Source organism: Homo sapiens, chromosome 8 (genome assembly GCF_000001405.40).
Source record: "Homo sapiens chromosome 8, GRCh38.p14 Primary Assembly".
NCBI classification, from domain to species: domain Eukaryota; kingdom Metazoa; phylum Chordata; class Mammalia; order Primates; family Hominidae; genus Homo; species Homo sapiens.
Window position 1 is genome coordinate 48,969,394 of NC_000008.11, and position 22,021 is coordinate 48,991,414.

At 40.3% G+C, this 22,021-nt stretch overlaps 1 annotated feature.

The window, feature by feature from the left end:
• Positions 9,678-9,837: a silencer, noted in NCBI's record as "silent region_19184". NCBI's record gives its function as "represses an Ori minimal core promoter by ATAC-STARR-seq in GM12878 lymphoblastoid cells {active_cell/tissue: GM12878}" and the evidence as "EXISTENCE:reporter gene assay evidence [ECO:0000049][PMID:35858748]".

Genomic DNA, 22,021 nt, shown 5'->3' on the forward strand with positions numbered 1-22,021 from the left:
ACAAAGTTACTGCATCATAGTGTGGATAAGAATGCGTGTTTATTGCATTTGTGGATATAGAAAGGCAGGTGTAGGAGATAATGTTATGGATGTAGAATAAGATTATTAAATAAATGTTGGCAAAGTGGAACAACGGTCCATAAGTTACATTATTGAATATTCTAGGTAAAAAATGTAAAAGTTAAATATACTTAGGGAAAAACCAACTGCAGGAATAGTAAATATGGACATAGTCATTTATCCCAATAAGTATATGCGATTTTGTTGCCACAAAAGGCTAAACTGAAGGTAACCTGCTGCATGTATTCAGAGGTATGGTGTCCATGATGTGGCACATTAGCAATACTTTTAAGGTGTTCTTCCTTCTTTAGAACATTATCTACTGTCTTACAACCAGTCTGTATGCAAGATTTTGGAAGGGAACTTAATGAATTAGAATGCCTCCAGTGTGTGTGGACATTTTGTTTAAATAACTGGAAAATTTACATTAAAAATATTTTGTATATGTTTTCACATACTTTAAGAATTATCAAATGGAAAAAAATAATGAACTTAATCTTGCATAGATTTACAAACACCTTTGGGGAGACTGAAATAATTAAGGTTTTAAGTTCATGTAAAGAGTATATTTTCAAAAGAATTTTCAAAAGGTGGGTTGAGAGGGGACACACATACACACACACACACACACACACACACACACACACACACAGAACGTGAGAATGTTCTGGCTTTGTTCATGGAAGATAATGTCTGCTGTACTTCACATATTTGTATCTGGGAAAACCCCTTGGGAGAAATTTCCTGTTAGCCTTGATATTTTTCTAAATTAACAAATTTGTACCACTAAGTCATTGCCAAATTTAGTTATTCACTCTCCATAAATTGTCACTTATCAGAAGCAGGTCTCTGGAAAGGTATGTTTTAATTTGTTAATTGGTTTGAGGCAGATAACTAAAATTGGAAGATGAGGCATTGTGAGCAAATCAGTTTTCATATATCATTTCACTTAAAGTTTAGGAAACTCTTCAAAGGGAATATTATTATGAATAATGTGCAGGTGAGGGAATTTAGTGTACAAGATGCTAAGTAACTTCTCCAAGGTCACAAAGCAGAATTGGGACATGTTTTCATTCTGCTTTCAAACCCTCAACCTTTTCTACATCCCACTTTCCCAATATACAGCAGGGGTGAGTCACTGCCAAAGTGAGTCATATATTAATTCTTATTGTAATTTATTCCCAGTCAACTAAATTCTGTCAAGATTTAAGTTATTTCCCAAAAGAAAGTCAGGCACATTCAGGTGAAGACATTTATACATTTGTTTCTGCAGCACATTAAATTACTCCCTTGTGACCTAAAATGGAAAGCTTTTAGTCAAATATTCAACTTCTCTCCACAGAAAGGCTGGCTGACATGTATTTTGACTACTGAACTTTACTAAAAAGAATTAATTCTGATCATATTTTTTTCCATAGTTAAATTAAGTCTTTGGGGGGGAGCTTATTTTGAACTTAAAAAATATTTTTACAGGAATAAAACCATGTTACAAATACAAATGCACCTACCCAGAGAGGTGTTTTAGAAGTGGTGTGAAAACAATAAAAACCATTTCATTAGATTTAGTAAATTTAGCCTTTCCTATTGTAGCCCTAATGCTAGTACAGTACATGGTTGGCTTTGATGGTTGTTCAAGGAAGATTGGATGAATAATTAATTCTTTGTACATATATCCCATTGGAAGGAATATGAGTTTTGTGTGGAAAGAATGGGCTCCCCAAACGCTTTTCTAATTTATTTTCAACTTATCAGTTGAATGCAAAGTAGGGTTTAACAAAACCACTAGCACTTGGCTTTTCTCTCTCCTTTTCCACAAACAAGTAAACTACTCAGTGGATTTCAGCTGGAAGTCACTTCTGTGACTTCTCCCTGAGTGGTTCCCCTGAGTGGTTTGTATGAAGTAATTCATCCTTCACAAAGAGCTGGATAACAGAAAAATTTTGTAAAATAACAATTTTTGCTTTTAAATTTTGTTTTATTTGTTATTTTGTTCTGTTTACTCTTTTGAGGTATTGAGAAATCCTAAATTAATCGATGCCCATATTAAGCAGCCCAGTGATATCATGTATTCTGGGTCCATTGTTTTTTATCAGATGTTTTGTTAAAAGCTGAAAAAGACAAGCTTTTAAATACTCCAATTATGTTTTTCCCTAAAGCTAATATAATTATTGGGAATTCTTAAAAATATATGCTACTATATAATATATTTATTATGTTGGTAAATGATAAGCTGTTTAAAGTGTTCTTTTAGAATTGACAAAATATTGTCAAAAAATTTGGGAAACAAAAAGAAAAAAATATATTACTCTTAGTAATACAAGAGAGACTTTACTAAAATTTTGTTTTAATTTTCAAAGATTTTGGGTGCACATTTAATACTTTGTTGCAACAATATTGTTCAGACAAGACTGTGCTCTGCCCTATTTAGCTCTGCATCCTGAGGATTTTCCAATGTAATTAAACAATCCTCATGATCATAAACTATAAATAATTACTTAATATTCCATCACCTGGAAAGATCCTAATGTGTTTTAATAGTCTTCTGTTTGTCAACATTTTGTTGTTCCCAAATGTTCACTGTGACAAATAGTACTATAATAAGTATGTTTGATGATATGGAATTTAGGATTATACCATTAGAAAATAGTCTTGGAAACAAAATTGTGATGCCGAAGGGTATCAACATTTCAATAGCTCATGATACAAATTGTCAAAATTTCAGATATTAAAACCGAAGTTCTGTGTTCAGATAGAGTATATGAGTGAGTTCACGTAGCCACACTGCTGTCATCATGGACAGATAGTGTCTTCACTGTAGATGTTTCCTTAGTGTGTGAAAAACTACAGCACATTTTTTAAAAAATGCATTTGATTCTCAGAAAGGTTAAAGTCTTTGTTTTCATATTTAAATTACTAGAACTATTTATCATTAATGAAATGTCTGTGTATGTCCTTTGCCTATAGATTTATTGGGACTATCATTGCTTATTGACATATATGAGCCCTTTATAAAAAAAATTAATACTTTTTAGATAATAATCTTTTTGAGATCTGCAATGGGTTTCATGATTAAATGTACGTACATGGTTTGGCCCTTTTTAAGCTTGGATTCAAATGTTAGTCTAATTTATTATTGTTGTTGTTGTGTGCAGTACATTCTCATGAATATATTTTTTAAATTTTCACTATTGGCTCTGAAGAAGGTTTGAAAGCCCTTTGTCACAGGGTTGTTTTTAACGTTTGAATTAACTGTTAAACTGAGCAAAGATGTATTGACTATCTACTCTGTGGCTGTCCCTAGAGGCCCCTCACTCTCCCCGTCCAATACTCTCTTGATGCTGTCTACTTTTCTCTCCCTGCACATTCCTTCCAAGCCATATTCCTAAGTCCCAAGCCTTCATGGGCTGTCTCTCTGGTGTTGGCCACAAACCAGAACCTCTGCTCTCATTTCTTCCCCAGTGTCAGACCCAGGCATGCAGTGTACTCTGTGCCTTGGAAGTCCCGCACATACACCCACGCTGAATCGATCCTGTTGTCTTCTGCCCCCTTTAGTGCTACCTGTCCCCTTTCTGCGCTGATAGCACTTCGCTGGTTTTTCAAGTGAGAAGCCTCACTTACACCTCCCTCCCCCTCATTCCCCATCCAGTCACCAGACCTGTGGTTTTTCTTCCTGCACCTGTGTCTCCCTATGCCCTCCGCCCTGCTCTAGGTCAGGCCACTGTCCACCTTTACTGGGGATATTGAGAACCTCTCAGTTGGTCTCACTACTTTCAGTATTCCCCTCTTTTAACCCCTTTCCTGATAATATAGAGAAAAATATCCTTCAAAAAAATGTACGAATCGTTAAGTCGCTGTTTCGTAAAATGCATCAAACATTTCCATTACTTTTAGGATGAATCCCCACATCCCAGGGTGCTGCTAAAGGCCCCGTGTTCACACCATACTTCCCTCTCACATAGCTTCAACCAAAACCCCTGTCTTCATCTGTGATACAGACAGATTGAGCAGTTCCATAAATTAACTCCTTGAGTTTGTCCTGCTCTCTCTTGCCTTTGGATTATTTCCTGTGATGTTTTTCTACCTGGACTATCCCTCCCATCTGTTCATTCCCCTAGTCTATGTTCACCTGGCTAATGCATACTCTGTACTGAATTTCAGCTTAGATATTCCTTCTGTGGGCTGTCTTTTCCTAGCCCATAGCTGTACTTGTCACTGCTTTACTTATTTTCCCCCATCACTAGATCAGAGACCCTTGGCAACAGAAACAGTGTTGTTCTGTCCTTACATGCCCAGTGGCTAGCCAATGTCTGCAACATGGTATGGTCTGAATAAATGCCCATTGATTGAACAATGAATGGGGCTGAAGTGCAATGCAGTGTTCTCACTGGGGGTACTGTCCCAGGAACCCTAACAATAAGAGTGTCCCTGATTTTTTTGTGAGTTGCTTCTTCCTGTACTTCAAGTGTACCATTGAAAGCTGATGTTAACAAAAATCACAAATCGTAGATGCTAATTTAGTAGTTTCAAGTTATAAGTAGTCATGTATAGTGTCCAACAGGAGCACTTTAATACACACTGAGCATCTGACATCTCACCTATGTATCTGTCTTGTGTTAGACTCTGTGAGGATGCAAAGTTAACCAAGATTGGTCCCCTGGGCTCTGTCAAGTCAGTCTCCATTTAGTGGAAAAATGCAAATGATAGGGACTCTACCTGAAGGCAATTTGCTAATATCACTGAGTTCATAAGTGTAGATATGTAGATGCAGATGTGGAGGCTGATGCAAATGCAGATGTAGGGGTAGATGTGGATGCAGATGCAGATGTAGATGCAGAAGAAGAGGTATTCACTGATGCAGATGCGGATGCAGAGGTAGATGTAGATGAGGATGCAGATGCAGAGAGACTCAGATGCAATGCAGATGAAGATTCAGATTTAGATTTAGATGTTGATGCTGAAATGGATGCAGATGTAGATACAAATTTAGATGTAGATGCAGCTGTAGATGTGGATGTGGATGCAGATGCAGACGTAGATGCAGATACAGATGTAGATGTAGACACAGGTCTAAATTTAGAGGCAGATTTAGATTTAGATGTGGATGCGGATGTGGACACGGATGCAGATGTAGACAGGGATGCGGATGTGGAAGTGGCTGTGGATGCAGATGCCACTGTGAATGCAGATGTAGATTATGTAGATGTAGATACAGATTCAGACTGACATTTAGATGTTGATCTGAATGCAGATGCCAATGTAGATGTGGATGTAGATGTAGACGCAGATGTTGATGCAGATTTAGATGCATTTAGATGTAGTTGTAATGTAGATGTAGAGACCGATGCAGATGTAGTGATGTAGATACAGGTGCAGATGCAGAGGCAGGATTAGATTTATTAATTTATTTATTTTTGAGACGCAGCCTCACTCTGTCGCTGGAGTGCAGTGGTGCCATCTCGGCTCACTGCAACTTCTGCCTCCCAGGTTCAAGTGATTCTCCTGCATCAGCATCCCAAGTAGCTAGGATTACAGGTGCCCATTACCACACCCGGCTAATTTTTATATTTTTAATAGAGATGGGGTTTCGCCATGTTAGCCAGGCTGGTCTTGAACTTCTGACCTCTGGTGATCCACTCACCTTGACCTCCCAAAGTGCTGGGATTACAGGCGTGAGCCACAATGGCTGGGCCTCAGATTTAGATTTAGACGTAGATGTGGATGCATATGTAGATATACATGAGGATGCAGATGTGGATGTGGATGCAGATGTAGTTGTAGATATTCATTCTCCAGGCCCTTTATTCTCTGGGTAGTTTCTACATTGTTTGGTCAAGGAAATGGAAGTAATAGTGAAGCAGGCTCACTGTGCACTGGTCATCCACATCTCAGTCTGGTAAGACAGATCATGCATGCAGTAAGTTATATCAGGAGGGTTTATTACTTACAGATAGGCAGTGAGGGACAACAGAAGCCTAGGATCCATGTTGAGCTGGTCCCCAGGCTCAAGAAAGCTGCTTAGGGTAGATGAAGCCTGACTGTGCATGTCCCACTTGCACCACAGCTGAGGAACACTGAAAGGCAGCTTGCCCTGGGTTCTTTACCTCAAGGGAAATGTGACTTGCTGGGCAAAGCTTTAAAGGACACCCTACTTCCAGGGAATAGAGGAGCAAGGCAAGGACAGTCTTGGGCAGTTCCTTCCTAATTCAAGATGGTACATGCCCCAGGAGGGACAGGAGCAAGGCTCAGGACCCTCCCTGCCTCAGGACACTGTATTCCCAGCACATTCTACAGTTTTTCTCGAGAACTACAAGCAAGAAATGGGAGAGAAGCAGGTTACTTCAGGGGTACCTGAAGAACTGCCTTGCAAATAGAAGTAACTGTGTATGGTAAAAACTGTTTACCATAGAGTTTTTATGTGTTTATATGTGTTTAATCTCACCTTCCAAACCAGTTTCCATGGAAACCAAACAAAAAATAAGAAAATATCTATTATATATTCAACTGCTTTCAATGGACATAAATTCATATTTTTATTTTATTTCAATTAGACACCTAATATCTTGACTATGAAAAAGCATTTTGAACCAGATATAGATGCTGAAATATACTAAAAGTTTTCCATCTTCAACCATCATTTGCTAAATTCATTCATTCACTTAACTTTTTTTTTTTTTATTATTTTGTTATATTTTTACTTGACAGACTTATTTATTTTAGTCCTTGCATCCCCCTCCCAGGCTATCTGACATTCCTTACCCCTCCTAACCCCAGGGGCAGCCTGACGCCATTTTGTGCTCTGGTAAGGGGAGACCAGGGCCACTGCACCTTTAGAGTTTATGAACCAGCACCAGGACCGCAGTTAATGACTCACCCCACCAGCTGAGTCTTCCAGAACACTGGGCTCTGGGCAGCTCCTAATCCCCTCCAGAGCTCCAGAGCCTGTACACAAGAGGCGCTACCCCTGTTAACACCACTCGGGACTCTGGGGAACCTACCAAGACGGCAGAGGCACGCCCCAGAGACAGCAAAGCTTGCCGGGAATAAAGCAAAGACCAGACTGCCTCCCTCCTGAGACGCCTCGGCACCGGCAACTGTGCTTCTCCAGCCCAGGCTGCCTCCTCCTTGGCGGCAACGCCGAAGGTCTCCATGGCCAAGCCTAGAGCCACAGACCCTATCCCCTCCCACCAGCCAACAGGAAACTAAAGCCGTGAAAATACCAAGCTTTGTGGCCAGAAAAAAAAAAATTCACCGGAAGTAAAATTTAAATTGAAGCCTAAGTCCGCTGGGCCAGCAGCAAGCAGCAAAGGCCTTGATTTGCAGACACATGCTCTGCCCCCAGCCACACTTCCTTCGTATTTCCCAAGCCCAGGGTCTCCAAAGACAGAAGGAAGGGGCTTTGGGCTGAGTCTGTCCGTCACGAAGAGGCAGCCTTCTGGGAAATCAAGGTTAAGGCAGAGGTGTCCTCAGGGGGTCCCCGGTGTGGGGCACTGAGGACTGTAAACAGGACCTACGTGAGACCGGGTGTCCCAGCCCCGAGGTTGTCTCTGCCTGAAGAACTGGCACTGCGGTGACTAGGAAGATGGGAACAGCGGTCAGCCAGCAGCAAGACGAGACCCCGTCTCCCCTAGGAATACCGGGGGTGGAGTGAGCCAGAAGGGGGCATGCGAGGGGCTGCCTGCAGTTGGAGGGGGCCTCCGGAAGCCATGCACAGCTTTGGGCTGCTTTTTCTCTGCCACTGGGTCAGCGCCAGGGCCTTCTTGGCCACGGGCCAACTCTTGGCCTCCCCTCTCAGAAGGAGCCTGTTTTAGGGTCAGCTCGGGCCAGGCTGCCTAGCCCAGGACTGGAGGTCAGGAGAGCTCCCAAGGAGCCCCAGACCTGCGGGACGAGACTGAAGGATGCGTCCAGGGGAGGCCAGGGGGCCACTGCCTCCCAGAGCAATACCGAGCCTGCTGCTCCTGGAGGCAGGCGGGTGGTCTGGAGCCAGGCCAGTTCCTCCTAGGCCTGGGTTCCTCCCAGTTCCTCCTGGGACAGGGTGAGGTCCGGGTATGGCGGCCACCGCTAACCTCCCTCTCCGCCCACACCGCGGGCCCTGTCAGGACCCAGAAGGACCAGTGCAGACTGCATTTGCTTTTCAGGCCATAGATCATCATCTTTGGGCCCAGTGACTATGCGCGCTGTGGGCCCCGCAAGGCCTCTACGGGGTCGCTCGGGCCAGGCCTGGGCTGCAATTCTTGGGAAACCAGTCCTTAAGGCTCCAAAGGCTCCTCCAGGCCCCACCTCTCCTTAGCGTCAGGCACGACGGTCCCAGAGGCTGGGCCTTCTGAGCCACATGGTCCTAAGGCCTCCTCGGAATCCAGCACCTTCTCAGAGCTTACGCCCGAAACCCGGCCCCCAGGGCACATGGGGCTCGCCTTGACCACGGTTTCCCTGGCGACCCCAGGGGCACTTGGGACGGTTCTCACTGCCCGCGCAGGGCCGGGCCAGGAGGTGGCCGCGCGGCCGGGGAGGGGCTCGGTGCTCCAGAAGGCACCGCGCTCTCCTTGGGTGGGAAGGCACTGGGCCAGCGGGGCTGGGGCGGGCAGCCCCCAGGCAAGGCCGCCAGCACTTCGCCAGCACTGCGACCTGGCCCTGCACCTAGCCTTGCACCCAGCCCCCGGCAACTCCTGGGCGGCCTGCGTCAGCTGCATCGCGCAGCCCTCGCGGATGGGACGCCCAGGGCTCGAACCCGAGGCGGGGTGGGCCGCTGCTGCCTACCCTTCTTGAACTGGAAGCCCGCCGTACCACCCGGGCGTCGCAGGTGGCGTGGAAGGCCAGGCTGCGCTGGCTCTGGGAGTGGCGGCGAGGACGGGACTGGAAGGGCCGGGCCTCTGGGGCCTCAGCTGGCCTCCCAACTTCTGCCCAGCTCGACTCACCTGGTTCTTTCAACGTGAGCTCTGCAGGGCAGGCTGGGCGATCCCGGACAAGCCTCTGTTTCTGCATTTGGGTCATCTTTGCCTGCTCTGGGAGGGCAGGGTTGTTTTGGTTTGAATTCCAGAGCCTGGCATGTAGTAGGTGCTGGGATACCTCGCTGCGCAGGTCTGGGGTGGCGGGTCTGGAGGCGCGGGACCCTGGCCGGACTCACTCTCCGCCTGGTCTAGGTGATATACATATATACTATTTTTATAATGATTATGTAAATGTTGTACATAATTTGAAGGAAATTGAGGAAAGTGAAAGTACGGCATAATAAATACTTGCCCAAGGTCATGGTTTTAGAAAACACCATCTCAATTATTCTGTAATCTCTACTCAAAGTAGGCAAATTAGAACTCCATTTTGGTGAATGCAATACATCAAAAGGACTGGTGATATTGTATATACTGGTAATACACCTTATCTTATTTTATAAATATATAAAATATACGAAAGTGTTCATATACAAAATGTATGAAATAGAAAATTAAAATATTTGAAATGAAAAAGCATTTTAAAGTATTTGTAATTTAAGACGTTCTTGAAAAGAAACAAAATAAAGATTAATAAGTAACCCTGCCTAAAAATTAAAGTAATGAAAAGATACGTTAAAATTAGAAAGCTTTTATTTATTGGAAAACAAATGTGCTCAAGATTGTCATTTACTTGGGAAACAATTCATTGTCAGAAGAACGACAGGCTTCCCATGCAGGGCTATAGAAGGCGGACTGGCCGCCAGAGGGCAGGATGCACTTGTAATCAAGCCGATTCTGTAACTGGTTCTGTTTCTACTACCTCCATCCAAAAGTCTGTGCTGTGATAGATAAAGTCACTTTAAGTATTTGTGTTGTATCTATTGGGAACATACAGCATTTGTTTACTTAACTTTTATTGCAGATATATAGCAGTTATATATATATTTTTATAAACATGAATGATTTGTCTTGAGAAAAAAACAGGAAATGAGTGAGCTCGAAACAGTCTGAGTGTTTCCACAAGCCAAAAATTCATTTTTATCTGGTTTTCAGGGTTTTAAGTGTTGCTATACTTTACTCATGACTACTGTATTTCTAACAAAATATGCTTGTGTGAACAAAACGGGGACAGTAATTTCTTCAGTTTTAATTCCAAGAGAAGTAAATATGTAGGGAATTGCAAGAAAGTCGTTTTATTTTTGAATAATGAAGAAGAGAAAGAGGAAAACAGATATTTGGCAGGAGATAATTCCAGCATCAAATTGTCATCGTTGCTGAGGCAAGTAAAAGAAGTGCCTTGATTTTCAGGCTCTTAATTATAATTAAGCACTTTTAAAGTTGGTGAGGATGACATTTTACCTGTAGTAAGTTCTAGACGGCTGAATTATATCCAGGCAGCTTCATTACACTTAGCTGTTGCTAAAACTGCTATCATCCAATTTTGGAACACTTCATGTGGAACTAAGTGGAAACCACTTTATAAAAGTTACTAATAACCAGAGCACATTGCAGTTTATACTTTTACAAACATTCTCTCATTAAGCCTTGGCACAACACATTTTACAGATGAATAAACAAGCTTAGATTAAGTAATAAACTTGCGGTCATATGGCTTGTGCATGATGCTAGTTCCCAAGGGAACAGCTATTATCTAGGGCTAAATCCTAAATCTCTGAATCCCTAATCAGCTAACTAGAGTGGTTGCATTTAGGACAAGAAAAATGTAAGCACAGCAAAGAAGTTTTATTATGAGCTCAGGGCTTCAGGCTCAAGCCTCATACCTAGTCCTTTTTTTTTTTTCCAGACGAACAAGACTAAGCATAATGTTATTTGTGTTTTGGGAAAGAAACCTCAAATCTCAACCTTATCCAGACACAAATATGTGCTGCTGAATTTATTCCTAAGAGGCGATCACCAGGCATATTGAAAAGTGCCTTTAATCTCTAACTTTGAAGGCATCTCAGGAGTTAGAGGCAGGGATAAGGATTCACCCCGGGTAGGTGCTTTCCCAATCTTTGCTTTTATGACTCCTTCTGGGAACGATGAGTTGAGTAGCCACTTCCCCCATCCACCCAATCCACGAAAATAGAATGGATGGTGACATTAGTTTCTTGCAAGAAGTTGTCTCTGCCCATTTACTTCCCTTGTCAGGCCAGAGCCTGCAGTATTGTCCAACCAAGTTTCTCAGCCAAGATGACAAGGACAGTTTTATTGCCTGACCATATGCAAAATAGAATCAAATATTTTATTGTCATAGTATATTCTTCAAAGTTGTACATGTCATGAAAAAGTGGAAAAGGCACATCTTTATTTGCAGAGATCAAATCTCAAGAAAAATGAAAGCTCCTGCATCTGCATCTCCACAGATACATTAAGAACACCAGTTATGAAACCTGCATGGGAGTGTCTCAGTTTATGTAGTTCCTCCTCTGGCTTGGAGATCTGAGAAGCTCCACCCTGGAGTCTGACCGGGGCTGGGGGCTCTACTTTAGCAACTGTAACCTGGGACACATTTCCTGTGCCTTCATGGAATTCCTGCAGGCCATTCACCCAATTCAGACACTCGATGAATACTTCTTGAACACCAGTTAGATGAACAGGCATCTCGGTTAGGAGCTAGGATTCAACAACAAACAAAACCAGACATGCCAGCACCGTACTACTCCATACTCAAGTCTCTCTAAGTAGTATTTTCTCAAGAGCCAATAAGATTCATGGAACTGTTTCACCAGGCGGGCATTTGGTGAACATAGAAACACAGCCAACTACTCAACCAAATATACCATTCCAGCAACTTACAATCTAAACATCCTTTCATAATATTCATTCTCAGGAAAACCAGCCAACCAATTAACCAACCAACCAACCAGTCAACCAAACAACGATGAAAACCCCAAATCCCGTGTTCTAACAGGCTAATATATAAGTTAGAATCTGGTAGGCAGCATGGCACAGTAATTAGCATATGAGCTCTGGAATTTGGTGAGACGGGTGTGGTTTCTGGCTTTGTCTCTTACCAGCTGTGTGACTTCGTCTTTCACCAGTCTGTTCTGAGTTCCATTTTATTGTAGTGTTTTCTTCAAAGTGCAGTTCATGGTTAATAAGAGTATCTGCTTTTTATGGTTACTGTGAAGATTCAATTTACATAAAGCAGTAGTACTACACTGGCTGTTGTGCAGTGAGTGCTCAATGTATGAAACTATTGTAATTAATAACATCATTACTGCTGTCGGCCACAGATCACATACTTGGGAAGAGGGAAAACAGAAGAGATCAAAAGAGCACTTTCAACTTTTCTAGGTTACCAGTGAGTCTATGCCGGTGGTTCTACAAAATTAAAGATGATTTTGAAGACAGAAATCCTCCAAATTAGCATATCCTAACAAGTCCTTGACTAATGCATAGTCTTTTCTAATTGCGGTTTTTGCCATTGAAAGTAATGGCGAAAACCGGAACTACCTTTGCCCCAACCTAATACTTCGGCAGTGACATCAAGAAAACTTCTATTTGCTGGCTAAATTTGCAAATTTACAATGTCATGGTCTTCACTGAATACCCCTTCTTCCTGTAGAGTAGATACTGTATTTAAAATCTCTTAACTCATCTTTTCATTTTATCCTATCACCAGTGGTCCTAGTATTTGAATGATGGATCGAAGGTGGAGTCTGGTTGAGACAGTTTGCCTTCTTTAAGAATAGGATAACCCATATTTATAAAATTCAGTTGTGGAAACAAAGTCCATGGCTTGGCATTTCCTGCAGCCTCCATCTCTTGATGGGCTCCCTGCTTTTTTTTTTTTTTGTTTTTTTTCCAGACCCACCAGGAACCTTCTCAGAGCTTTAGGATCATGGTGCTACCTTCTGCATTTGATACCCAATTGCTGCTACTGCCTCTGCTCCCGAACCTCTTCTCCTCTTATATCTGTCAATTTGCTTGAATGGGAGAATTATATCAAAATATTTCTGCAAGGAATCTTTGCTCTAGGCTCTTTGTCAGCCTGTCCTTTAGGATCCAGTAAAGGTGAATATGTCCTTTGCCCTGTGATTCTTTTCCCTAAAATCTTCTTTTGTCTCAGCTCATACATTTCCTGTGCAATCCCATCTCTGCAGATACAGCCCAAACATTACTTTCACTGCCTTTACTCCCTAAGGTTTGCTTCTATTTTCCCTAGGCCCTCATTTCCTTGTTTCCCAAATATTCATTCAGTTATTCATTCATTCAGAACACATGCATATCCTGTCGCTGTGCCTGGGAATGGATATGGCCCTGAGGACATTCTGACCAGCAAGAAAGTTCATGTGCCTGAGAGCCTGGCACCTGCAGCTGATTCAAAGGGCTGTCAGAATGCAACGAGCACACAACAGAGGAGCCTGGTCAGCTCTTGGGGCAGGAAGTTAGGGAAGGCTTCCTGGACAAAATGGTACTGCCCCAGTGAGTCTGAAAGAGTGAGTTGGAGTTAATCAGGCCAAGTGGGGCTGCCTGAGATGAGGTACTGACTGCAGGTTATTCAGTAGGAAGTACAGAGTGTGAGAAGCTGTGGGCAGAGACAAACCCCTGTAGTAAGAAGAGCAGGCAGCAGCACTGAATCCCATCCTGGGGTGTAGACCTTGTTCTGAAAGTGACAGGTAGCCAGGCCAAGGCTCTGGTGATCACATTTGTGTTTCGAAAGTCTCTGGACTCGTTTCAGTCAGGCTGGTTGTGTTTCTGATCACCTTCGCTTCTTTGTAGAATCTACCTTGGCTCATCCCGGGGCAAAGGATGCCTGGGTGCAGCTGGATCTGAACACCTTTCTTTTTCAGTTTACCTCTCACAAGTTATATATTGATTGAGCAAAACCGGCTTTCTTCTTCTTCAAGTAATTCTGTTATTCTTTGTATTTCTTTTTTTCTTCTTTAGAGGCAGGATATTGCTCTGTCACCTAGGCTAGAGAGCAGTGGTGCCATCATGGCTCACTGCAGCCTCAACCTCCTGGGCTCAAGCCATCCTTCCCTATCTCGGCCTCCCAAGTAGCTGGGACCATAGGTGTATACCATGATGCAGGGCTATTTTGTTTTCTAGAGGTGGGGGTCTCACTATGTTGCCCAAGTTGGTCTTGAACTCCCGGTCTCAAGCAATCCCCCAACCTCAGCCTCCCAAAGGAGGGATTACAGGTGTGAGCCACCCTGCCTGGCCTTCTCTGAATTTCTGATATGCTTCTTGCAAAGGAAGCACATGCACACATGTGTACTCAAGCACCTTGATGTCCATGAAAACAGTCCCCAAGCCCTTCCCACTCACTGGCTATGGCTGCCCCTCCATCTCAGAAAAATTAGAAAACACAAACAAACACACTTATCATACTTCATCCTAGACCCTGAGTATTCTTGCAACACAAGGTGCTGCATGTCAGGCCATGTGATCCAGAGACTCCATATGCCACTGTCAACAAATTTGGATGGCAGGCATGAGCTGAAATTCTGAAGTTGAATAATTCATGATATAGTGCTGCCTTCTTGAAAAATAGATTTATTTTATCATATAACTTTATGTTATTATATGTATATTTTATATCATTTCCAAACTTTTTACTCTTGCTTCCAAGAATGGAACTGGCTCAAAAAACAAATCCCATGCAATAAATTCCTTATTTATATCCTGAAAGACAAAAGTATTAAAATGTATCAGTATAATCAGATGTCCCCATCCACACTAAATAAATGAAGATCATTCCTTTAAAAAGGGGCACCCCGTGGATCACTTGTTTGGGCCTTGGAAGTTCAGAATCTCCACTTGGGTTAACCATTCAGGTTGAGTGTTTCATATTTGTCTATAATTTCCTCTATGCAAACTCACCTATCCCTGTTCATTCAACATGGAGCTACTTTAACATCAGAGTACGTGAATTCACTTGAAATAAGGTGTTTTTGGTTGATTGAGCTTAATGCTTATGGTATTTCCATAAAGAATAGTTGGGTAACTACAGATGGATCCCTATTGGTGAGATTTACTATATCAGCAGGAAGCTAGTGGTGAAAGATCTGTTGGGCAGGAGACATTTCCCTAATCCACTTAAGCCAGACCATATCAGTGACCAAGTACTTTGCTGACTTGTAGGCAGGCCCAGGGCCAAAGGACAGAGGGCAATTCTTCTCTTCTCGGTTGACACGAATCCTCCTGTGTTGGGCTGTGATTGAGTCTAGAGGTCAGCAGCACATTAATCATCACTGCAGAGAACCAGCCCTGAGGCATTCTTCATAGCCTGCCCTGGTCACTGACCCTGGCATTTTAAAAACCATCTAGTCAGATTCTGGAAGAAGATGCATCTTCATCATTTCCAGATCTTGACCAAAGGATGTGCTTCAAAGGCACAAAAAGACATAGGCATTTAACTAAACAATAGGCTATTAATAAGTGAACACTTACAAATGTATTAAATTATCTAAATATGAGTAAAGGAATAACTTGCAGGTATGTTCAATTTAGTGCCATTTAAATACCTTTTTTTAAAAATAAAAACAGTAATAGTATAAATTGTTTATGGATACATGCACATTTAATACAGTTATAAAAATCCCCACGATAAAAGCGCACACAAACAGCAGGTCAGAAGTTCCTTGGGAAGGAGAGTGGGGAAGGATGTGGGTTGGAATTGTTTGTGTCAAAGTGAAAACATGTTAAACCCTGAAGGTGGGACATACATTTCTTTAGATATTTTTTCTATGCTTAAAACATTTCACAACTTAATTATTTATTTATTAATTATTTTCCCAACTTTATTGAGATGTAGTTGACAGTTTAAAATGGTATATATTTAAGTCGTACAACTTGATGATTTGCTATATACATACATTGTGAAATATTCACCACAATCAAGCTAATTAACATGTTCACCTCACAGTTACAATTTTTTTTGAGGTGAGAAAACTTAAGATCTAACCTTTTAGCAAATTTTGAGCATACAATATCATATTGTTAACTATATTCACATTGTTGTGCATTATCCCTTCAGAACTTACTTGTATTGCATAACTGAAACTGTATTCCTTGGACAGCATCTTCCCACATCTCCATTCCCTGAGCCTCTGGTAACCACCATTCTACACTCTGCTTCTGAGTTTGATATTTTTGGACTCTACATGTAAGTGAGATCATGCTGGATTTGTCTTTCTGCATCTGGCTTATTTCGCTTAACATAATGTTCTCTAGATTCATCTGTGTTGTCACAAATTGTAAGCTTTCATTCTTTTTTAAGGCTGAATAATATCCCATTGTGTACAGGTGTGCACATATGTGTGTGTTTATCAGTTGTTTTTATAACTTTGCAAGCACTGTTCCACTGCTTTTTAGCATACACTTTGATAAATGAGAAGTCTGGAGGCTTTTGGATTCCTTTGTAGAATATTTGTATTTTTTTTTTTTATCTCTGTGGATCTCAGGATATCCTCAAGATCTTCGTTTCTCTAAAATTTCTGTCATTTTTGCATCTTTCCTACTTGCTAGCCAGCCCTTTCAACTTGAATGCTTGTGCCTTTTTCTAATACTAAAAAATTCTTTGTTCATTTCATGTCTTCCATCTTCTCGATTTATAAGTCTCTATTTGCCAGAGATGGTCTGTATAGATCTTTAATTTTTCTCTTGTATTTTCCTTTTCTTTGACTTTTTTGCCTTTTATTTTTGTTTTGATTTCATAGTCCTCCTTGATATTGACACTTTTATTTCAGCAATCCTATGTTTATATCCTAATTCTTCTTATTCTCTTGTTTTATAAATGCAATCACTCTGAGCCTTATTGATGATGGAATTAGACTTTTTACAATGCTTTCTTTGCGGTCTGAATTATTTATGTTTCTGTATGGATTGTTTTTAAATTTATTTAAATCAATTATCTTTAGGCTATTGATTGCAAATATCTGAGATCTTTGATCTTTTACTTACCTTCAAGAGTTGTACACTCTGAGGACACATACATGTAGCCCATTTACAAAGACAGTGATAGTGACGACCTCAGAGGCTGTTTCTAAGAGCAGAAGCATCTGCTAGAACTGCAGAGAGGGACTGGTATGACAATAACTCATTTTCAAATGGACATCCTGAGCATGGTGACAGAGCAGAATTCATTTTAGGTTTTATAGGTTAGAAGCTGTCTGTGTGGATGGGAACTCCCAGCTGCTACAATGTAGAGGGTTGCCAATGCCAGACCCACACTAGGTTACATGGCCATTCCTAGCTAAGGGTTTAAGAAACAGTCCTCCAGTTTATTTTGGGATAACTCGAAGTTTCTAGAGCTATTTGCATAGCAGTAATGGTGGTAGTGGGTGGTAGTAGGGACTTAGGTGGCTCCACAAATAATAAATAAATCCTCATGTTTTCAGATTTACTTTTCACATATGTCTTCTGAGCTCTCTGGAGCTATCACACTAGGGCACCCACTTCTGGGTTATGACACCGCATGCTCAAATTCTTATGTCAGTGTTTTGCACTGTTTTCCATTGTCCTTAAATTAGCTAAAGCCTACCATCCACTGATTAAAATCTGTCTCCTGTTGAGTTCTCTTTGTTGTTTGGGATTTGTCGTTGTTGTTGTTGTTCATGAACATGGAATATCTCTCCATTTATTTAGTGGTACTTTGATTTCTTTTAACAGAGTTTTGTAGCTTTTCTATATAGATCTTGTACAAATTTTGTTAGATTTATATCTAAGTATTTCATTTTGGAGGTGCTAAAGTAACTAGTAATGTGTTTTAAACTTCAGATTCTACTTGTTCATTGCTGATAAGAAAGTAATTGACTTTTGAATATTAACCTTATATTGTCAAACCTTGCTATAATTGCTGATTAGTTCTAGTTTTGTTTCTTTGTTTTCATTTTTTTGCCAATTCTTTTGGATTTTCTACACAGACATTTTTATTATCTGCAAAGAAAAATAAGGTTATGTCTTTCTTCTCAATGTATATACCTTTTATTTTTATTTTCTTGTCATCGCATTAGCTAGGATTTCCAATGTGATGTTGAAAAGCAATAGTGAGGTGGGACATCCTTGCCTTAAGATAAAGAATATCTACAAACAATTGCAGCTAACAGTATTTAATGGGGGAAAAGTTTGAATTTCTCGTAATTAAATATTATGTTAGCTGTAGGTTTTTGTAGGTATTCTTTATCAAGCAGAGGACGTAATCCTCTATTCCTAGTTTACTGAAAGAGTGTGTTCTACATTTATGCTACAACCCCTAAATACCGGAATTATTTCTCTGTTCCTATCACCTTACTAAGCACAAATTTATTTCTTTCGTTTTTATTTCTTACTGTAGGATCCTGACAAAATTTATTCCTATACTTTCACTCTCTCTTAAAAGTACTATGCAATTCTTCAAAATATTGTTCCTCACTCACAAGTGCCTTCACACTTCTGTTATACTTGTTAAGGCTAGTAATAACTCTTATATGCTTTCCCCTGTGGTGAAACTGTTGAACTCTTAGCCAATATATTATAGTGATTTTGAGTATTGACTCTGGATTTAGCTTGGGTTTGAATCCTGACATTACCACTTATTACTGCATTATGTTGGGTTACTTTACCTCTTTAGACCTGTTTCTCACTTTTAAAATTAGGATAATGATGGTACCTATTGTATGAGTTATAAATATTCCATGAGATAATCCATATTAAACAACAGTCAGTGCCTAGTGTGAAATACATTCACTATAAATGTTAGTTATTATTCTACTAACATGTTTCATGGCCCATCTAAAGTGGCTCTCATCTGCTTTCCCTAAACACGAGGGATCCAGCTCTCATTTGAGCCCTTCCAACTTCTTTTCCTTCTCTGTGTTTATGTTACAGTCATGATCATACTGTATTTTGTACAATGTTCATACACTTGCTTCAACTAGTAATACTTTCTAGTAATTGCACTAAACCTCAGTATATTCATGTGTATAAAAGAGAGCAGTAACTAGCTCAAACATTGTATTAAATTCCATATAATGTATGTCTATAAAACCATGTGATTATTAATGGGCTGTTGCTGCCCTAGGGCAGTCCACTAGTCTAACACCCACAGAACATCTGACGTAGTTTCAGCTCATAATATTTATTGAGTAGAATCGATTTTAATAGTCTTCTAATCAAGAAATAATTAAAAGGGCTCTACAAGCTTTTTAATAAGAGAAGCAGTTAGAATACTTTTAGCAACACTGAAGTTTTTGATTAGGGAACATTCCATATAAGGAGACTGAAAGATAAGTGTTAATGTGCTGTCCTTACCCACATCTGGTACAGGCTCATACAGAGCTTAAAATTTTAATCTGCTTTAAATGAAGAACACTTCATTCTTTTTTCTGTCTCCTCTTTCTTCTTACTCTTCTTCCTGCTTTTCCCTTTTCTATTTTTTAAGAACTAAGAGTTAATATAATTATTTACTAGTAATCTATGTGGATTTACAAGCTTGCAACTGAATCCTAATGCCATTGTCCTTTAGATTTAAAAACATCAGTGTTCCTTTACCAAAAGTGTACCTTAGAATATTAACTTTTAAATATACTTGTAAAATCTTCTTTAAGTATAATGAAAAATAAACTTTCTTTTTGAGCAGTAATATGTAATTGAATTGGCAAAGCTCTATGTCTGTTTTCATTCACTAAATGACATGTCTTTTCACATCTGTGGTTCCCACATGAGCACTATCTAATGGATTGGTGATCATTTTTTATGACACATCTTCTGAGTATAATTTAATGAGAAAGTATCAAAAAAATATTTTTCCCCCTGTTTTTTTTCTCTTAACAATTTGGACAAATCACTTAATTGCTCCAGCATTTGATTCCTCACTGGAATATACAAATGTTGAAATACTTGGACTGCACAATCTCTTGCAAATCTGTATAATTTATTCCAGGTTATCTTGTGTATTCTCATTAACGGCTGGCCTAAAAAACAAAGAAATCACATAGCATACCACTCTTTCATAGCTACTTAAACTTGTATTCTTTGCTGAAGTTGTTCTTTCATGGTCCAAAGGGCATTAATATTAAAATGAAGGTCTTTATCTAACAATTGTGCTGAGAAACATTGATAAAAATAATTAACATCTTTGCAGTTTAATGTGAAATACTTCCTTGACTCAGCCAAGCCTGTATTAGGGGAAATAGTAATAAGAAACGTGTTAGGATTTTCTAAACTCTAGTTCAAGATAAATGTGACTTTAGAGCTATGAGTTTTTCAAGTTTTTTTCCCACTTATTTAAAAATTTTATTATATGTTTTATATTTCCTTATTTAATGAACCAAATTGAAATGATAAAATTTTACACTCCCTTTGTTGCTCTTATAGTAATTTACTTCTTCCTACATTGCAGTCCTTAAGTTGTATTTTTAAAATTTAAAATTTATTGAGCAATTGTAGATTCACATGCAGTTGTATGAAATAATACAGAGCGATTACCTATACAATGTGCCCACCTTCCCCAATGGTAAAATTTTACAAAACTATATAAACAATTCTGAGGTCAATGTATTATGCTTGTTCCAAAGGCAAGAGGTCTTTCCTCTTTCCAGATTCTCTCTTGCCAACTAGCTGGCCTAACGTCTATACCTCATCTTAATTAAATTCATAAAGTTACTCCCTGTTACCTTATATTGTAACCTCCACTGTTCTTGTGGGCACCGTTAGTCTTGAGCTTCTCCATATTCTGTTGCAAATGAAGTGAGTTCCACTGGGAAAAGATGAGGAGATATCTGTTTTATGGCTTGCCTCTCCTTCCAGACAAAACATTGAATCAGAGATCTGTAGCTGGGAGCAGGGACAATGGCAAGCTTCTCTCAGAGTAACACCATCACTACAGGAAATGAACACTCAGTCAAGGATGTTGCAGAAGCCTTAGGTCCTCTCAGTTTGCATCTCCTGACATGAAACCAGAATGTCACAAGCCAGGGCAAGGTCATTCAGGGATCCAGTACCCTTAGTGTACCCCAATCAAGGTAACACCTCTGTTCCCCATGTGAGAGCTGAGTAGAAGAACACAGCCTCTACCTTTGACTTCACTCACCTGGGAGTACTCAACAGGCAGCTAGAGGCAGAGCAGAATGCGGAAACGCTGAAATCCTGCTCTTACCTGGGAGTTAGTCTTCTGCCCAGGACCAGGGGAAAGAGGGAGCCCTGTGTTCTTGGCTGCAGCAGTCTCGAGTGGTCTCTGCCTTGCTGAGCCAAAAGGAGGGAAAGAGCAATCTTGGTTCAAGTGCCACAGATTTCTAGCTTTCTTAACCAGCTTTCACAGATTTTCTTGAATATATGTTTGTTTTTTTTTTCATTTGCTCTTTTCCTTTGGACAGAGGCATTAAATGGTTATTTTAAATTATTTTTCTCCACTTTCACTGAGGAGCACGTCAGTGGAGCTCTTGATGCTGCCAGGCTGTATCTCCCCCTTAATGTGTTTTGTAAAAATATTTTATTGATCAAATATAAATTCAGCCTTACAATACTGGGAGAAAAGAAATGTATGGTACAGATATTGGGGCAGAAAGTCAGGAAAAGTCAATGCTATGTGATTGAAAAATAAAATAATGTGTTGTCTTTTTTTAAAACCCTTCCTTAACTTCCAACAGATTTTTGCACATTTAATCATTTAAAATATTTCTAGAAAGCATAATAATACATCTGGAAGTTTTCCAAAGTTATAAACAGGAGAACAGAATAGCAAGATGGCACAGAGTCCTTCTACAATTAAAATATATTTAAGTCTACTTAACTGCATTCTCCACAAGCTACTCTTTCTGAAATAATAAATCAAAGCTACAGAGGCATCAGGAGCTTCTTAGCCATATTGGAGCTATTTTTTATAAAGGACCCAATCTTTATTATTATTTTTCATAGCCAGGGAAGTGACTACAGGGTACACACTTTTTATGGCTCCATGAAATAAAGGTGTGAGGCCCAAGAGGTCCCAGGAAGGATTGGAAAGAAAGAGTAATGAAAGGACACTACAGGTCACCATTTTAGAATGGAGCCAGGAACGCTGCTGGGATGAAGTAGCCTGGAGCTCCTTCCTCCCAGAGATCTGC